The 19,001-nt window shown below is 47.9% G+C and overlaps 1 protein-coding gene across 2 annotated transcripts in view, besides 2 other annotated features; it reads right to left on the bottom strand.

Moving 5' to 3' along the window:
* SLC25A48 (solute carrier family 25 member 48) overlaps window positions 1-19,001 on the bottom strand; it is a 309,466-nt gene that overhangs the window by 176,288 nt on the left and 114,177 nt on the right. The gene's annotated exons all lie outside the window — the stretch shown is intronic.
* Window positions 17,971-18,470: an enhancer, noted in NCBI's record as "H3K4me1 hESC enhancer chr5:135029569-135030068 (GRCh37/hg19 assembly coordinates)". NCBI's record gives its function as "activates a minimal SCP1, AML or CMV promoter by ChIP-STARR-seq in naive H9 embryonic stem cells {active_cell/tissue: H9 hESC(naive)}" and the evidence as "EXISTENCE:reporter gene assay evidence [ECO:0000049][PMID:30033119]".
* Window positions 18,471-18,972: an enhancer, noted in NCBI's record as "H3K4me1 hESC enhancer chr5:135029067-135029568 (GRCh37/hg19 assembly coordinates)". NCBI's record gives its function as "activates a minimal SCP1, AML or CMV promoter by ChIP-STARR-seq in naive and primed H9 embryonic stem cells {active_cell/tissue: H9 hESC(naive and primed)}" and the evidence as "EXISTENCE:reporter gene assay evidence [ECO:0000049][PMID:30033119]".

Raw genomic sequence — 19,001 nt, 5'->3', positions numbered from 1 at the left:
GAGACATACTCCCGCTTTATGATAGGAGTAGAGGTGGAGCACCTGGAAGATTCTATTCTTCACTTGATGAATTCTTTGCTCCAAAAATAAAGCCCATAAACTTGTTCAACAGCTGGAATTTTCCATGTGAAGAATGTACCTCGTCTGGCAGTTTACTTAAGCAGTTATTTGCAGCCTATAATTTTCACAAAAACAGTAGGGTGTGCCTGGCGGGAGATACAATCCCACTGAAAGAAAACAATGAGAAAACTTTGGAACAAAAGATGCTCTGATTCCATTAGAAAATCATCGACAATTCAGGGTCAAGGCCAACAAAGACGTGGGAAGTTTTCAAGCAGACTTGCGAGAAGTTGGGAGAACTGTGCTTCAGAGGGACTGAAGAATGCGGCCTGCAGGATGCCTGGGTGGGAGGGGGACACTAGAGGCAGGGGGGCCAGTGAAGGGGTGGGTACAGAAGTCCAGGTGAAAAAGTTCTGAGGTCTATGGAAGTGGCAGCTGTGGCCCTTAGGAAGAGGGATGGGGTAATCAATAAACGGAGCAGAATGAGGGTGCAGGAGACATCAGCAATCATGGGGTGCCAAACCCAGTAACTGAAGAATACAGTCCAGGCACTGAGGAGAGGGCACAAAAGGATGGACAGATTTTAATGCGCTGGAAAGACTTTGGGATCAGTAGCAACTTGAAAGTAGTCTTCCATTTTTTATGCACAAGCAGGTTCTATATGTTCCTGGGAGAAAGATGAAGTAAATTAAAAGAGTATTGTCTAATGGTCTTAGCACTGAAGCGTTCCTTGCCTCCAAATAACATGAATCTAGCAGATCACATGGCACTCCTGAGAACCCACCAGCATACCCATGAGGCCAAAAGCAACTTGTGAAGCAGCCCCTGGAGAGGCTTGTAATTCTTCTCCCAGAGGCTGGGGTTCATATTTGAAGCTACGAATGGTTTCCCCCGTCTTCTCGATGCTGCTTGTATGCCTAAGACAAGTGCAGTAACTTGGGGACACCTCTTGTGCCTTGGTTGAGCTGCTCTGGAATATGACTGACTATCTCTTTGACTGGCTCCCAAGCTTCCCAAAGTGCATGTTGCTTGTGTGATGCATTAATCAAGGTTGCCTAATGTTAGCTCATGCAACAGAAATATCTCAAATCTCAATGGCTTCATGCAGAAGAGGTTTATTTCTCTCTCACAGAAAGTCCACAGTGAATATTTCTGGTCAGGCAACTCTTGCACTGCTCTCCTCAAATGGGAACTTGGGCATTTCCCTCAAATGGGAACTTGGCCATTTTTGTGGCTCTGCCATCTTGCAGCTTTTCCTATTTTATGGCGAGGCTTCTAAGTGCCATGTAACCATCCAACTTATATTTCAAATCAAAGCTTCCCAAATATATCCTCCAAATTTGGTTTAAAAAATCCACATGATGGATTTTTAGGAAAGAACTTAATATTTCTTTATGCAGAAAAAAATACTTCGAGGAGGAAATAAACTTTTGAAACTTGGTATTATGAAACTGTCCACTCTTCTCTCCTGTACAAATGAGGCTAGGTTATCAGTGAGCATCTAAACACCTGGATAAAAGGCTTCAGAGAAGCCATTTGGCCAGTGCCTTCTTCCCAGGAAGTCACAGGTTGAGGTTACATTCACTGAGCTTCTTTTCTCTTCCAGGTCCTTTCCTATGCACATAACCTATGTTAAGTCTAATTTGAAAATACTGCAATGCATTCATTAATATGCCCATTTGCACAGAGGAGCAAACTGTGCTCCAGAGAGGTAAGGCAACTTGCTCAAAGTCACAAAGATCTTGTTATGTAGCAGTGCTGGAATTTGATCCCAGACAGTCTGGCTCCAAGACCCACACTTGTTTCATGACATAAGCCTGCCTTTGTCAGTGATCAAAACAAGACGGAACAAAACCAGAACCAGCAAAAGAGACGGCAATGGCTTCAGAGGCATCACACCCTTTCATGCAATCCATGGCAAATGGTAAATATTAGTGAGCTGGAGCCGTCTCACCCCTTTGATAATAATTTCTGCTCTAGGTTCCCAATGACAGTAATTGAGGCTATAATTCCCATTTCCTGCATCAGCTATGAGTACATACAGACTGCAAAGCTGTGCGAAAACCAGCTGCCCTTTGCAGCAGGAGGTAGAGTTACATCAGACTCTCTGCTCGCAGCCCTCTCTGCATTTACCAGCTCCAACCAAGGCAGCAGTGACACACTTGGGGCCTCACAGTGAAAGGGGACTTCCTGTTGGTGTGCCAGAGCCAGCTTTTACCAGCTTATATTGGCCAACTGTGCACATCTCTTCCCAACTTGGTGTTCAATGTCATCATGTTGTGAGCTTTACAGTGACCATGGTGGGAGAATTTACCCCACAGGAATTGGTAAATGTCGTTTATCTGAGCCTTTTTAAAAACCCAACGACCTAGGTGATAATATTCTTGAGAAAGGTGGGAGTAGGGAACAGATGTGCAGTTGAGGAATGATGGAAAATAATAGTAATAAAGCAGTCAACATGAACCAAGTACTTACAATGTTCCTGGCACTGTGCTGAACTCATAAGGCATTATCTTATACAAACCATAGGAATCATATAATGTAGATATTATTATTATATACATTTAAAAGGAGAAAACTAGAGTTCAGAAAGGTTAAGTAACATAGTCAGCAAGCCAAGATTCAAACACAGGATTTCAAACTCCAATAACCCTGCCCTTTAGACACCATGCTGTGCTTCTTGTCGTAGCAGTGCCTCTGGGATGTGGTCCACGGCGCCCTGCTTCAAAAGCACCAGAGTTAGCTTACTAAAATGCAGATTCCAGGGCCTTGCCCTTTCTGTACTGAGTCCGAACCTTTGGGGTGGGGTGTAAGAATTTAGATTTGTATCAGGCTCTCTGGCTGATTCTGCTCCCTAATGGTTGCAAGCCAGGACCCGTGGGTTAAGAACTGGCCTCCAACAGGGCTCTTCCCACAACTTCCCACAAAATTCAGGGGGAATCTGGCCAGAGAGTCAGTCTAGGACTTGGGTGGGGTTGGAGGAATTGGCCCAAGAGCCCAAGGCTAGGGAGTCCAGGCCAATTCCAGTTCCTTCCCAGAGGCAGGCCAGTTCTCAGGTTCTGCCACTCAGTGGGCAGCAGGACAATGCAGTGCAGGGAGCTGGTGTGGGCTCAGGGGCTGGATACCTTGGGAGCTGTCAGGGGTCTTTGTTTTACTGTCATGAATAGTTGTGGGTTGAGATCTCAATTTTCCAATGAATTTTAGTATGTGAACCAAAATCTGTTTTGTATTATTTTCTTCTTTGAATGGAGTTTTCCACATTTTGTAATAATAAAATCACCTTGGCAGGATAGTCAAGCAGCCTAAATAAAAACACTACCAATAAAATGGCATTTTACTAACTTTAAGCAAAGCAAATGTCATATTCTACAAGGAAAGGGAGCCCATCTAGCCATGATTGTGATGAGAGCCAGCCCACTTCTCAAAAGCAGTGCCTGCTCTGCCCTGCCCCACTAGGATTCATGGTACTCACTCACTCGCTCTCTCTCAAATGTGTTCTTCCACCAGAAGTCATGAAGAATGATTCTGAAGACACCTGGGCTCTCCCCAAACCAGGCCCAGCTCAGGTCTTGACTGGCTCACAGCAACCACTTCTTCCATTGCCCTTACCCCAGTCTCTGGGCACCACAGCAGCAATGTTGTAGACTCGAACCCAGCTGTGGTCCAGGGTTGCCCTGGGATAGCTGGGTCATCTCTGCCTGACCGGGGTGGGGCCTGACACTCCACCATTAACACAGAGAATTTGGATGAATGCACCATTACAGTGACCATGCAAATCTCAGACATTTATAGCTTAATGGGAATATATTTAGCAGGTCTCTTATTGAGAGCTAGTTTAACTCAGGGAGAAGACAAAGCACCTGAGGACTCAGGATACATGGGGAAGAGAGAGATACTAGGAGCCTGCAGAAAAAACTTGCTGGGAAGTATTTCTGAGCTCTCTACATGAAAGAGGTGCTCATAGATTTGCTTTGGAATAACTTTTGCAAGGTGAAGTGGGGTGTAGAATAGATGAACAAGATTTTCCAGGAGCTGCTCATTGTTGAAGCTGAGTGATGGGTACATAGGTGTGGTTTATGCTATTCTATTTTTGCAGGTGCTTAAAAGTTTCTATAATAAAAAGTTAGGAAACAAAAGGGGGCTCACGAATAGAATCTATATCCCTATCCCAGGCCCCTGCTGCCTGGAAGGCTGGCGGGTGCATGTCACAGTGCCATAGAGCCAGCAGGGAAATGATGTCCCAGCCCCAGGCACCCAGCTGCCCAGGCCACTTCATCTTCTGTCACACTCAGCTCCAGGCACTGAGGCCTCAACTAGCCAATCCATCCATCCATCCATCGATCCATCCATCCATCCCTCAACTCATAAATATGTATTTACTGTTCTCCTACCTCAAAGCCTACTCCATGCCAGGCACCAGAGTCCAGCAATCAACAAGACAGTCATGCTCCCTGGCTACATGCCCTCGCAGACAAGCTGAGGGAAAGAGACAATCAACACATGAACAAAAGAACACATGAACAAATACTTGAAGTCATTTCAGACTGATGAGGGGCATAAGGAAATAAACAGGAGGGTAGGAAAGGAGGGGCTGCTTCTGCTAAGGGGGTCACAGGTGGCCTCTCTGAAGAGTGATGTTGGAGCAAGGACCTGAGCAAAGGGAGTCTGTGACAAAGTAGCTGGGAAAGTGTTCCAGGCAGAGGGAACAGCAGGTGCAAAGGCTCCAGGGCAGCAGTGTGCTTGGTGGGCTGCGGGGACCCAAGGGCGGGGGCGGCGGGAGTCTGAAAAGAACAGCAAGGAAGCCAAAGTGGCTGAAGTGCATTAAGCAGGAGGGAGTAGGAACTAACTCAGGGAGGGATCTGGGCAGGGCAGATCACAAAGGCGCTTGCAGACTCAGTGGGAGTTTGGATTTTACTCTGAGTGGAGCAGAAGAAATGCCACAGATACTCTGGTTTTCAGTGAAGAGAGGAGACATTCAGGAGCAAGAGTGCACAAGGCCTCCTTTTTGGGCTGCAAAGCTGGCTTATCAGATGGGGTCAGGCTCTAGGGACATGCCCTCCTTCAGTAGTCCACAGGCCGTGAGTTCAGTCTCCAAACACAGGGCCATGCCCAACAGAAGTGAATAAAGGACCCTGGGAGCTTCCCTGGACAGCTTCCACCCTACCCCACTTCTCCTGCAGCACATGGGGGCCCCTGCCGCCCACACCCCCAGCCCTGGCTTCGTCATGCCTCACTGGAAGTGCCCCCTCTCAAAGCCCACTCATCCACTCACTGCACACCCATGGCCTCACCTCCTGCATTTTCCATGTCTTCTTTGTGCTTTCCTCTACCTGGCCTATTTGGTCAACAAGTAGCTGTTCTTAGACTCCGTCATGAATTCCATTTGTCCCATGAAGATCTTCCCAATTATTGAAGTGAAGAGGGGCTGCTACCCTCACCCACCACTGCCTGACAGTGTTCCTCATCTCTTTCGTGACATGTGTCATGACCTGCCTGTCATGCAGACCCAATCGGGGAGATGAGACCTGTCTGCACATCAGTGGCTTGAGGGAGGGGACCGTGCCCCTTACCCCTCTCGTCCTCCCAGGGGGCTCCCTCTTCACACTGCATCTTGGTGGTAGCTTCTGGGCATCCAGGCAGCTCTAGGTGCCCTTTCTCCATGCGCACACCACATCCAGTACTTGCCACGCTAGAGCACTGGTCTCATGCCTCCATAACAACTGGGAGCTTCTCAAGAAAGAATGGCAACGCGCTGATGATGGTTGATAAATATTGAGTATTTCTTATGTGTTAGACCCTGTACTAAGTGCATCTTATCCCATCAATCCTTTGAGGTGGGTAATATTGTTAACCAGCTTAAAGATGGGGGACCTGAGGCTAAAAGTGCTTTACCAAAACAAACAGCAATGACCAGCAGAGCCAGAATTTGATTCAAAGCTTGCCTGAGCACTGAGATCCTGCTCTTGCTGTATGGTACCTCCTACACCCAACTCAAGGGCAGAGAAGGTGTAAATCACTTTTGTAACCCAGGGCCTGCCACAAGTCACCAGGAGTCCTGGAGGCTCATGACAAACATCTCCCTCCTGGCTGCCCAGCCCAGTCAGGCCCTGTTTGGAGGAAGTGGCCAGGAGAAAGGCTATGTTTACCCAGGTGCCAGGTGTAAAGGGCGCAGTGGGGCGGCCTCAAAGTCTGGGCACCTTCTCACAGAGAAGAGGCTTTCTTTGAAAAGAAAGGGTTGGGCCGATGACCAGAAGGGCAGCCGGGAAGAGACAGCCCAGTTCAAAGAAAGCAGTTACAGGTGAGAGACTCTTGAGAACAAAGGTGGGACGTCTGCTGTACAAACCAGCCTGCGTTCCAGCCAGGCCAGCTCACCCTCAAGAACAGCCTCTGCCACCCTGCCAGTGTGGCCAGATGGGAGACTTTGCCATGGGGACCAGCCACCCCTCAGGAGCAGGACATCCCCGATACCCTGGGAAGGCTTAGTTCCATCTCCTGGGAACAAAGGCCCAGTCCTCATGCTGCAGGTGAAATTTCTTCTGAGTGGATGGGCTCAGAGAGGCTGAGTAACTTGTTCAAACTTGCACTGTTTTTAAGAGCCAGAGCCCAGATATAACAAACCATAAGGTTGACTCCAGCCAACTATATACAGGTACTTTTATGTTGTCATCTGTTCTTCCAAGCAAGGTTACCACTTATGTAGGCACTAAATAATGTTAGTGCATGGTCTAGCTTGAATTGAAACTTGCTGGAAACATACCTCATGCTTTGTCATCATCATTGCTGCCATCATTTAATACTTACGGAATATTTACAGTGTGCTAATCACCTTGCATATATTATTTCACTGCCACCTCACAATGACTCATGAGACAAATGTTACTATCCCCACTTTAATAGATGAAGAAATCAAAGCTCTGATAAGCTCCAGAACATGCCCAAAGCCTCACATGACGAGGTGGCAGAGCCAGCCTTCCCATTTATCAACAGTGACAGCATCACTGGGACTGCCATGACAGCAGCTGCTTGCTCCGCGCTGAGCTAGAGAGGCCACAAGGGCCACTGCTCTCTGTGAGTCAATCTCAAAAATGCAGGCCTGAATGGAGCTCTGAATCAAGGGGTCCAGGACTGAGAGCTCTGAGAACAGGCCCGCAGGGAGGACGGGGGTTATGTCAACAGGGGATTTTAGAGCCTAGCAAGCAAGAGTCAGGACCCAAGAGACAGTGACCAATCCCTCCCTGTCCCAGGTCATCTTTGCTTGGCCAAGAGGTCTCCTGGAACCCCATTTAGCCATCCTGACCATGCCCACATATATCACAGGCTATCCTCAGCAGTCCTCTCAGCCCCAACACCTGAATGGCAGTCAGAGACACTGCTGGATTTGTACCATCAACCCAGACCACACACTGCAGTCTGCCTAATGCCAGGAAGCTACCTAGACATTTGTAGAAGCGTCCAGAAAAGTCAGTTAAGAACACAGCTTTATCACTGGCCATCAGCCAGTACAGGATTTGAATCCTGGCTCTGTGACTTATTAACGTGTTATGCTGGCCAAGTTATTTAACCTCTCTGTCCCTCAGTTTCCTTTTCTGTAAAATGGGAATAATAATAATATCTACCCCCAAGACTTACTAGAGAGATTAAATGAGATCACACATGTAAGGTTCTTAACATACTTCCTGGAACACAGTAAATATTAAACAAACAAATAATAAAGCTAGTTAATTTTGGTCCTATCTGACCCTTACATGTGTCCCATAAAGTAACTGGCCAAATAGCACTGATCTGGAAGTCAGAAATCTCAAGTCTGAGTTTAGCCAAAAGACCACACATCTCTGGGCCTCAGCTTTCTCTCCTTTAAGATGGAGATGTTGTCACCATCCCTAGTCAATATTTAACAAAAGTATCTATGCTGCTGATGCATAAGAAAGATCTTTGAAAAGTCTGAAGCCTTGAAGCCTGGGTTAAAGACAGGCCCAGGGCTGGGGCATCTGATATAACTGAGAAGCCAAACTGGTGAAGAAAACAGCCTTGTTTTTAGTCTGATTTGCCACCAGTATGCACATTCAGGGAATTTGCTCCATAGCAAAGGACTTCCTCCTGGTCCCGACATCCTCCAGCTAGAGGCTCCTCTCTCCCGCTGAGCCTCTGCCGCCCAGAACAGTGTGTGAACCCATCACTGAAACCTTTGCCTTCTTCATAACTTCAAGTCAGGTCCAAAATGGAATGTGACAGCCAGAACACTAACTGAATGGTCCAAATTGACACAGATATTTGCTGCACCTCAGGGTGGAAATCTTTGCAAGAATGTGAGGCTGCTGTAAACACCAAACACTGAGTCTGGCATTGTGCAAGGAGAACCAAGAGGGTGCTCATGACTCTGTGGTCCTTTCCCCCCAGATCTTAAGGGCACAGTACGCAGAAAAAGGATGCTAATGGGTGAGGCAGTGGAGATTGAGTGGGCCCTGGAGAAGAGGGCAGATGTGTATTCATGCTGAGTGCTGGGCACACAGTGGTGAACGTGACCATCCAGTCCTCACAGAGCCCACGGTCTGGCAGGGCCAGTCACTGAACAAGTTACTGTGTGGTGTCAGTCAGTGCCTCAAAGGAGGAGGCACTCACAGGTTTCCTGGGGAGAAAGTAAAGCAGGAGAATGGAGTAGACTGGAGAGTCAAGGAAGGTTTCCTGGAGGAAGTGATATTTTTGCTGAGAGGTTAACCAGGCAGAGACGGGTTGTGGGGAAAACTGTGGGTGGTAGGATGCCAGGCATGTTACCAGAGCTTGTTTTAAAATGCCCACCCTGTTAGAACATGGCAGGGCCAGGTGCGGAAACAGCTCCTTGCAGACTAAGCAAGTGTATGGCCTTGGTATCTGCAACCTCAGAAGGTAAGAAAAGGCAGCTTCTCACCCTTTGTCTGCAAACAAAAGGGAGGCCTCACTGGGCTGCCGTGTGGGGTTGTCTCTGAGGCATTCTTGGCTCAGAGATGGAGGCATGCTGAAGCATCCCTGAGTAGTGATTGAACATTTCAGGTTTGCCTTTGGGGCAATTCCTCTGCAGAAGCTAATGTGGAGTTCTCACAGAGCAGCTCCACATTTCAGACTTCTGTCTTTCACACTTTAGACAAAACAACACAAGCCTGTGCATCTGCCTCTGCTATTTGCCCGTGGGCCCCTGTCCGGTATTACATATTACCATCTTGTTCACTGCTCACAGTGAATGGCATTTTCATAGCCATTTCTATAATTATTAAATTTCTTGAGGCCTTTTATTTTCCAGCGCTGATGAGAGTGCAAAGGGGCTGTCAGAGATGATGAATAAGCTCAAGTACATTCACTCAAAAAGAAGGTGTTTTCCCGAAGAGGGTCCTGTGTGTGACTCCATTCTGGCCCTGTGTGAGCCACGAAGGAGGCTGGTTTGGTGTTGAATAGCCTTTCTCAAAGGGTGCTCCCGGAAGCCCCAGCTCCACGCCACGCTAACACGTGTTTTGTGAGAATGGGATCCCAAGGTCAAATTTGTTTGGGAAATGCATGATTTAACAATATTGTACAGGCTTCCTGGCTTTGGTACTTCTCAGAGCCTTTCCTATGTGGCTGGGCATTGAAAATCTCCAGGAGGAGGACACAGCACCAGGTATGGTCCAGACTCTCCTGACTGTAAGAATAAAATGGTCCATTGCTTTTCTACAGATGTCATCACAAAGTACCACAAACTTTGCCTGTGGCTTAAAACAATAGAAATTTGTTATCTCATAGTTTGGAGGCCAGGAATCCAAAATCAAGGGATTGGCAGGGCCGTGTTCACGCTGAAGGTCCCAGGGAAGAATCCGCTCTTGCCTCTTCCCACCTTCTGGTGGGTGCTGGCAATCCTCAGCCTTCCTTGGCTTATAGACGCATCACTCCCATCCCTGCCTCTGTCATCACATGGCATCCTCCCTGTGTCTCTGTGTCTTCACATGGCCTGCTGATAAGGACACTGGTCATTGGATATAGGGCCTACCCTAACCCAGCATGACCTCGTCTTAACTTGGTTACACCTGCAAAGACCCATTTGCAAATAAGGTGACATTTAGAGGTACCAGGCATTAGGACGTGGACATATCTTTTGGGAGGATATTATGGAACCCACTAGAGGTAAGTTAGAGAAAAATGAAAAAGCAGGAAGCAGTTCATGAGGTGGCTCAATGTATAGACTTTGTAGCCAAATTCCCACCCCTGCAATTGCTATGATTTCCAGCAAGTTAGTAAATGCAGTATCTCCAGGCTCATCTTTCTCATCCATATGTAAACATCCTAACACCTACCTCTTAGAATTGTTGCAAGATTAAAGAGATAAATATATAAAGCATGGAGCCCAGTGCCTGGGCACACAATAAGGATGTTAAGCAAAAGAGTGACATGGTCAGATTAATTTTTTAGAAGGAAATAATCACTCTTGTTTCCATGTGGAGGACAGGTTGGCAGGGGCAAGACAGCTTCTCTTTTGATCTTGCTGGGTTCCATCTCGAGTTCACCCAAGGATACACTCCATATAGCCCATCCAGCCACATATGAGGAATGCCCAGATCTGGACCACATGAGGACCTTGCCGAGGGAACATGGAGCATGGGCTGCCTATTAGTCTGCTGGCTCAGACACTATCAAAGGCCATGGCCTATGCTACCAAGAGTTTTGGGGCCTGTCTCTTTTAAAAGTGGGAGGGACAGTCCTTTATTGTGTACCTTAAAGGATGACATTGGGAATGAATGAGAAAATGCACAGCAAAAGCTTTGCAATATGCAATTCAGTGTTCAGGGTGTATATGTGGTGGGGGCCGGTGGCGGGGGGGAGTTATGTTCCTCAAAATACTGCTCCCAATATGTCACCAGGTCCCCTGCTTAGACATAGGCAGTTTGGCTAACTTTGGTAACAAGGAGGGTGAGAACAGGGTAGAGGTGATTATCAGAAAAAAACTCCCAAGATGTGAAGTTGTTGAACCTCAGGATGTGACCTAGATGGAGCCATCACTAGCCATGTCACTGAAGCTTTGGTTCCCAGTAATCAGAGACGATGAGGGGAGAGCAGGGTGGTACACAGCCTGGGCCAAGTGGACCAGGGCAGGCAGGCTGAGCATCAGTCCTGGGGGTTCTTGACTGGAGGACTGACGGCCCACACTCTGAGGAAGATGGGTGCTACTCGGCCCATTACTACTGGAACTGGTGGCTGACAATACTCTAGGAGTGGGGAGAGCTGCAGGTCCCCAGGTCACTCTGTGCAGTGGAGGATGGCCCATTGCCAGATCTATAGGCAGGATGGAGCCCAGCAGAGCTGCCTCCTGATTCCAAGGCAGGAAAGTGAGCTCCCCCAGGTCCCAGGCCCTCTGCGATTTATGAGACCCTGTCATGCCTCAACCTGCACCAAATCTGCCTTAGCAGCTGGGAGCAGAGGCAGGCCTGGCAGGCCTCGGAGCACGTGCACAAGTGGTATCCACTGTGTTGTTACTGGTAGGTGCACCCCTGCTAGAGCTGCAGACATGGGGAGCCATGCAGAGGCCCAGGTAGGCACCCAGAGCCTGAGGGGACTGCAGAACTCTCCCTCAGACAGGGTGCCTATGAAGAGAGGAGGGTGCCTGCACCATTGAGAACAGTATTTACAACCTGGGCCACAAAATATAAAACCTAAGCCTGGGCCTTAGGGCTGGAGACAGCCAGGGAGGAACACAAGGAACAGCAAACACACAGGGGCCACCAGACATCTGCCCGTGGGGGCCTCTCCCAGAGATGGGCTCTAGAGGCTGGGCACCCTCCTTCATTGCTGTCCTCGGCCCCTAGCATAGCGTTTGATGTTTAGCAGGCATTCACTCAATATTTGGCTGACTAAAATTCACATTTTCAGTCCAATATCATTTTCTTTTCTTTCTTTCTTTTTTTTTTTTTTTTTTTTTTGAGACAGAGTCTTGCTCTGTCACCCAGGCTAGAGTGCAGTGGCATGATCTCGGCTCACTGCAACCTCCCCCTCCTGGGTTTAAGCAATTCTCCTGTCTCAGCCTCCCAAGTAGCTGGGATTACAGGCACACGCCACCAGACCCGGCTGATTTTTGTATTTTTAGTAGAGATGGGGTTTTGCTATGTTGGCCAGGCTGATCTCGAACTCCTGACCTCAGGAGTTGGCCTCCCAAAGTGCTGGGATTACAGGCATGAGCCACAGTGCTCAGCCCAATACCATTTTCTAAGTGCAGGACTGCAAGGCCATGTGTCAAATGCTGGTGGGGACTCAGAGATAACAAAATGAGGGGCAGACAGAATTAAAGGGAATAAGGCTTCAGGCCACGGAGTTGAGATTCTGTCTCCACCATTCAGTGGCTTTGTAACCCCTCAGAGACTCCATCTCCTCATTGGGTAAAAACAGGGTGTCAGGATAGCTTTTGATACAAGCTTTCAGGGAGCACTGGAAAGTGTAATAAGAGACTGGATATTAAAGAACCAGATAATAATGCATGCTGCATGACTAAGAAGCTCCTCTCTCAACACTTACCAAGCAGGTGGCTGTGAGCATTGCTGAGACCCTCACTAGGCAGTCTATCACTGTGCTACACAGAGGGAGTCTTCAGTCCATGCTGGCTATTACCATTGTTTTTAAAATCAAGTTATGAAATATAGAACATGTTACACATAATAAAATGCACAGATCTCACGTGTTCCAGTTGATGAGTGCTGATAATTGTACAGACCCAATTTCCAGTCACCCTGGAAGTTCCCTCGTGCCCTTTTTCAATCACGCTCTGCCTCCTTGCTCCCAGAGGCAACTTTTCCATCATCGTAGACAAGTTGTGCTTATTCCAGTACTTCATGTAAATGGAATCATGTCATGTATCTCTTGGTCTCATTCTTCCATGTCTGGCTTTTTTTTTTTCCCAGCGTAATGTTTTTGGGGGATTCATCCATATTGTTGCAGGTGTTAGTAGTTTGTTCTTTCTCCTTGATGCATAATATCACATCGTAATGTATACACATCACATTTAAAAATCTATTCTCCTGTTGAACACTTGGTTTGTTTCCAGCTTCCGGCTATTATAAATAAGTTTGCTATAAACATTCCTGTATAAGTCTCTGTACGGACATATGTTTTTACTTCTCTATGGTAAATAATTAGAAATCAAATCACTGGGTCATATTATAGATATGCTGCCAAACCGTTTTCCAAAGCGGTTTTATCATTTATGTTCTTACCAGTATTGTATGAGAGTTCCATTCATTCCATATCCTCACCAGCATTTGGTGTTACCCGTCCTTTTTATTTTCATCATTCTATTGGGTGTGAGTTAATATTTTAGGATGGGTTTGATTTGCATTTCCCTGATGACTAATGATCTGGAGCATCTTTTCATGAGTGCATTGGCCATTCACATATCTTCCTTTGTGAGATCTCCGTTCTCATTTTATAAATTAACTTGTTTGTCCTTTTTTCTGATCCACAGAAGTTTTAAAATATATATTCTGGATATAATTCCTTGATCAGATGTATGTATTTCAAATATATGTATTTCAAATGACTTATTCATTTCTTTATTGGTATCTTCTGAGGATGAAAACCAGAAACTTTTACTGTTGATGACCAGTTTATTCTTGTTTCTTTTTACGGCTAGTGCCCTTTGTATTCTATCTAAGAAATCTTTGCTTACCCCAAGATTATAAAGATATTCTTTCCAATATCTTTTTTTCAAGAAGCTTTTTGGTTCCAGGTTTTATATTTAGGCTTATGATCCATCTCAAATTATTATTATTTTTAAAAACTGTAGTGGTTGCTCAGAGCCATAAGGAAACACTCAAGTTCTTTATAGGATCAGACTTTTCTTAAGCTTCAGGCTGAAGATAGTATCAGTTCTAAGAAAAGACTTTTGTTAGAGTCATGGCTTTGACCCAGCCACATAGTTCTGCTGACTGACAACAGGCCACAGAGAGCTGGCTTAAGAACCACCAGCCAAAGAAAAAGCTAAGTTGATTTCCCTGTGTCCAACCATGGGGCACTAAGCTGATTGTTACCAACTCAAATCACCACAATGTGACCTTACAGTGACCATGAGAACCATAGCAGGTCCCAGCCTAGGGCCTTATGGTGACCATTAGGAGACAGCACTGAGGGTGTCAGGTGACCCTCACCCCCGTGAAGCCCAGCTGGTTGTTAGAGGCCTCCCTGCACTGACAACTTGGTAGATAATGTGATTTAGGCAGCTCCTCATAGGTAGATGCAGACCTAAAGGTGGCGAGGCCTGATTGCTGTGAACGTCAGAGTCCCTGGCATGGCCCAGTGACAATCTGGACAGTTGGGGTGGTAGGTCCAGGGCAAGGTGAGGTGGGAGCCTGGGTCAGAGGCAATGGGAAGCCGTGAGGGGATGGGTTTCTCATGAAGCCAGGAAGAGAGGCCTTTGGAGGTTGTGATCTTGGGAACAAATGCCTGCAGCCCAGTTTTTGAGAGCCTAACCCTGGCAGCTCACCTGGCAGCCAGGAGCCTGCTGATGCATTCCTATCACTCTGGAGATACACCAGGAACAGCTCTCTTTCAGGCCCTGGGAGAAGGCTGCTGGCACGTCCTGTGTCTCCAGGAAGCACCTGCCTGCAACCTGAATGCCACTGGCTCTGCTGGCACATCTGACATACAACTTGTCTACCTTCCCGTTATGTAGGACCTGGTACTTTTATCATGGCACTGGCACAGGGGATGAGAGTGTGCAGTTGGGGCTCACAGAAGGACAGGGTCCAGTCTCTGGCAAAGGAGGTTTTCCAGCTGGGCACACTCCCACTGGTCTAACTCCTCAAAAAGGGAAAAGATGTGCCAAGGTCATGAGCCAGCAAAACACGCAGCCAGCATGGCTCTCAGACAGCCCTTGACTCAAGGAGCTGTGACCACCCTGTGTGGGAAGCACCAGAAAATCACCACCTACCAAGCCCAACAACCCTTGCAGAGCTGAGCAGAGCTGAGCTGAGCCAAGCTGAGATAGCACTGTGGAGGGGCAGCCTCTGTGTTGCCTCTCTCCTTTGGAGGGAACCATTACCTAAGGTGACCCGTGACACTCAGGGTTAATCTGGAACTTAGAGTTTTAAAAAGCAAAATTCCTTCCTCGGAGTCTCTTAAAAGAGACACATTCCAGCATCATTTCTAACTCAAATAATTTTGGATGTCAATTGTATGTCTTTAATGAGCCCAGAAATTTTCATAATTATCCTTTTTTTCAAAACCATAATTATAGGTTAGAGTACATGCTACAGACAAGAAATTTAAATAGAGCTTTTTAAACACTTAGGCATTCTGCTTCTTTCTCTTCTTAAAAAATTCAATTATCCTACTGTTACCTTTCTTTTCTCCTTGAGGTAGACACTGGGAGATGAAATTTTAATTGTCCAATGCCTCATCCCCAGGGGCCCTTTCCCAGCCCCATCTCCCTGCTCCTTCAGTTCATACCCAGCTCCCCTGTGGCTGCACTGGGCATAGTGATTGGCAGGAGGTGGAAAGGCTTGGCTGGAGCTGCTTCCCAGTATGGAAGACCCAGGCTAGCCCTGAGCATACCTGGAGGCCTCCCGCAGGTGTACAGGGAATGAGTGAATGAAGCCTCAATAGGAACTGGGACAATGTGGCAGAGTTTCCCAGTTGGGTCTCCTCCAAGGTTAGAACCTGCCTCCAGTGACAATCCAGGACCTGTCCTAGTTCCATTGTGTGGATTTGCTTTGGCAGGTAGGGAAGGGCCCAGCAGAGAGAGCACAGGGAGCCAAGGAGACCAAGATTCTAGATTTAATCATTCATTCATTCATTCATTCATTCACTCACCCAGCATTCACTGAGCATCCCTGCCCTTCTGGAATTCACTGCCAGGACTGTCTCTCTCTTCCTTCACACCTACTGTGTATCTGGCACAGAATTTGGCACAGGTGATCCAAGATAAGTGATCTTTCTCACTCAGAGCACCTAACATCCTGACAGTACTATCAAGTTTTGCATTAAAGTGGTCCCTAGATGACGCATGTCCCCAGCTTGCCCTCAACTGGTAGCAGAAGGGAGGGCTCTGCCTCACCCCTCTTTGGCTCATCCCCTGTGCACCAAGTCAATCTGGTCCCTACCTGGTGGTCTTGCTGCAATGCATTCTGCTGACACTTCCTGACATTCCCAGATATTTGATACTGAGCTTGAGCCAGGCACTTTCTGTGCATGTGTTGCACTGTTTACTTTCCACAGTCGCCCTTGGGCTTTAATGCTATTGCCATGCCCATTTGTGGGTGATGACACTGAGGCTCAGAGAGGTCAGTGTGCAGCAGGATTTGCCCTATGTCATGGCAGATGGTAAAGACTGCAGACTTGTGTCCTCTTGGGTTAGGATGGGCTGTCTCAGCTGTGAAGGGGCAAACATCCTGCTTTTGGAGAGACTTTTGCATTTTCTCTCTTGCCAAGTGACTAAGATTAAGAGCTGACCTCCCTCCCATCCCAGAGCTGCTGGGAATTTGTTTACTTCTGAACCCAAGGGCCCATATCCTGGAGAGAAGGTCGGGGCAGGAGCAAAAACATGTGGCCAGCATCAGAGGGGAGACTCCCAGGAGCCTCTGTCCTCCGGCTGGGGTCCAAGAAGAAACACAGCCGCCTCCAGCACAGGAGATGGGAGGAAAGTGCCAGCACAGCTGCCCGAGGTGGGGGCTGGCCAGAGAGAGACCCCTGTGGGTGGGAGGCAGTGCATTCTCAGTGTTGAGCAGGGGCTGAAGGGAGAAGGGCCACCGAGGCCTGTGCATGCATCATTTTGGCATACCAGGGGCAGGAGGACTGGGGCTGTGCCCATTGCAACCTGCCACCTGCAAAGCATGCTGGGAAAATACAGGGAAAGAAAACAATTATCTGATCCCAGGAAACCCAGCAAATTTTTCTGTTGTCAAATTCTTATTGAGAACAGACTCTGTGCCAGGCACCAGATTTGCTCTCATAGATCTTATATTCTTGTAGAGGAGATTGACAGTAAGCAAGAAAAACATAAAAAGCACAAGAATTTCAGATGGCTGCGAAGACAGAGCAGGGCAATAGCACAGAAGGGTTTTGGAGGAAGGGAAGGCCACTACCTCAGACTGGATGGACAGGGACAGTCTCTGAAGAGGGGACTTGGAGTTGACTCATGAATGACAAGAAGCAGCCACCCCGCAAGTATCCAGGGAAGAGAGGTACAGGCAGAGGGACCAGCTAGCGCAGCTGCCCGAGGTGAGGCAGGAACAAGGTTGGTGCTTTGAGGAGCAGGAAGATGCAAATGCAAAGCCGAGGGCTGCCAGGAGGAGAGGTGGGTGATGGGCCCAAGCAGCTGGCTCATGCCCAGCCTGTATGTTTTCTCAGTGAGGAGCTGGGATTTCACACTAAGTGGCTTGGGAAGCCTTTGAAGAATTAAATTCTAAAATCATCCATCTGGGCTGGGCACGGTGGCTCACACCTATAATCTCAGCACTTTGGGAGGGCAAGGTGGGTGGATCACCTGAGGTCAGGAGTTCGAGACCAGCCTAGTCAATATGGCGAAACCTCATCTCTACTAAAAATACAAAAATTAGCCAGGCATGGTGGCATGTGCCCGTAGTCCCAGCTACTCAGGAGGCTGAGCAGGAGAATTGCTTGAACTGGAGGTTGCAGTGAGCCAAGATCATGCCACCGCTCTCCAGCCTGAGTGACAGGCAAGATTCTGTCTCAAAAAAATAAAAATAAAAATAAAAGTAAATAAATAAATAAATAAAATAATCAATGTGGCTTCCACGTGGCTAATGAATTTCCAGGGAGCAAAAGGCAAAGTAGAGTAATGGGAGCTGACAGAGTTCTTATTTTAACATTATTGTTTGCAGCCGCTTCTGGGGAGCCATTTTACATCCCTAAATATGTAAATATATAAAGGATGCTTAGATATTTCTAACGGGGAGCTGGTTTCATCTTCAGGTACCTCAAGGTGGAAACGGTTCAAATGGCTTTAACCTCTGCAGCCCTCCCTCCACAGAGCCTGTGGCTAGGATGGGGCCTCTGGAAGCCTGTGTGGGCGGGACACATCTGTGTACTCAGCGGTTCAATAAAAATAGTTAATACAGCATACCAGGCCGCCCAGGAGACCCGTGGTGTTTCATCCAGAAGCCAAGAGTCTTCTTTAAAGTCCCTCCCAGTCTCTGTGCAGGCCCAGCCATTCATTCCTGCCCACCGTGTGGCTGTTTGGCTTCCTGTGAGACATTCTGTCTAGGAAGACACCCCTGGCAGGGTGGAAAAGGTGGGCTCAGCGCCTAGAGCTCACCAGGCACACCCTCATCGCAGCCTTTCAAGTGGATCTCCTAAACCACTTGGTAAAGAAATGCTTTTTTTTCTCCAGAATGTTTCATTCTGCTGACCCCAGAAACCTGCAGAACAAAGAGTCTGAGAGGCTTATGGCTTGTCTGGGAGGCTGGGGAGGCCCATCGCCCCACACGCCTTCGCACTGTGAGGGGCAGGGACCCAGCAGGCCTCATTCAGGTTGTGGACGGTTGCTCCCCGACAGCCCTTCCTCCTCTATTCCCTCAGACCCCCTCCTTTTTCCCATGGCAGATGCCCAGACAGGTTGCTGCAAAGCCAGGAGGGCAGCTATGTTTCACTCTGGTGTCAATTCCATTCAGTTGGTAGTGGCTGCTTGGCACGGGTGGTGTCAGGTGGTAACAGGGCTTCAGCGCCTGTCTTGCCTCAACAGGAAAGAGTGAAGTAATGGATTAGTGATATCTGCCCTGAGCACAGGAGAAGATTGTGGAGGTACACATGTCAATCCTACCCAAGGCTGGCAAGCCTGGACACATTAGAGAGACCTGGCATACCACCGCATCTTCCTCTTCTTTGTAGCTGAGCCTCTCAGGCTACTGAGTCACTAGGCAGAACCAGTCCCCATATTCCAATCAGTTCCCCTCAGTGTGGAGCTCACAGGGCAGCCCCTACCAAGGAGAACTGCTCAG

Source organism: Homo sapiens, chromosome 5 (assembly GCF_000001405.40).
Source record: "Homo sapiens chromosome 5, GRCh38.p14 Primary Assembly".
Classification (NCBI taxonomy): domain Eukaryota; kingdom Metazoa; phylum Chordata; class Mammalia; order Primates; family Hominidae; genus Homo; species Homo sapiens.
This window is presented reverse-complemented; position numbering and strand designations above follow the sequence as displayed.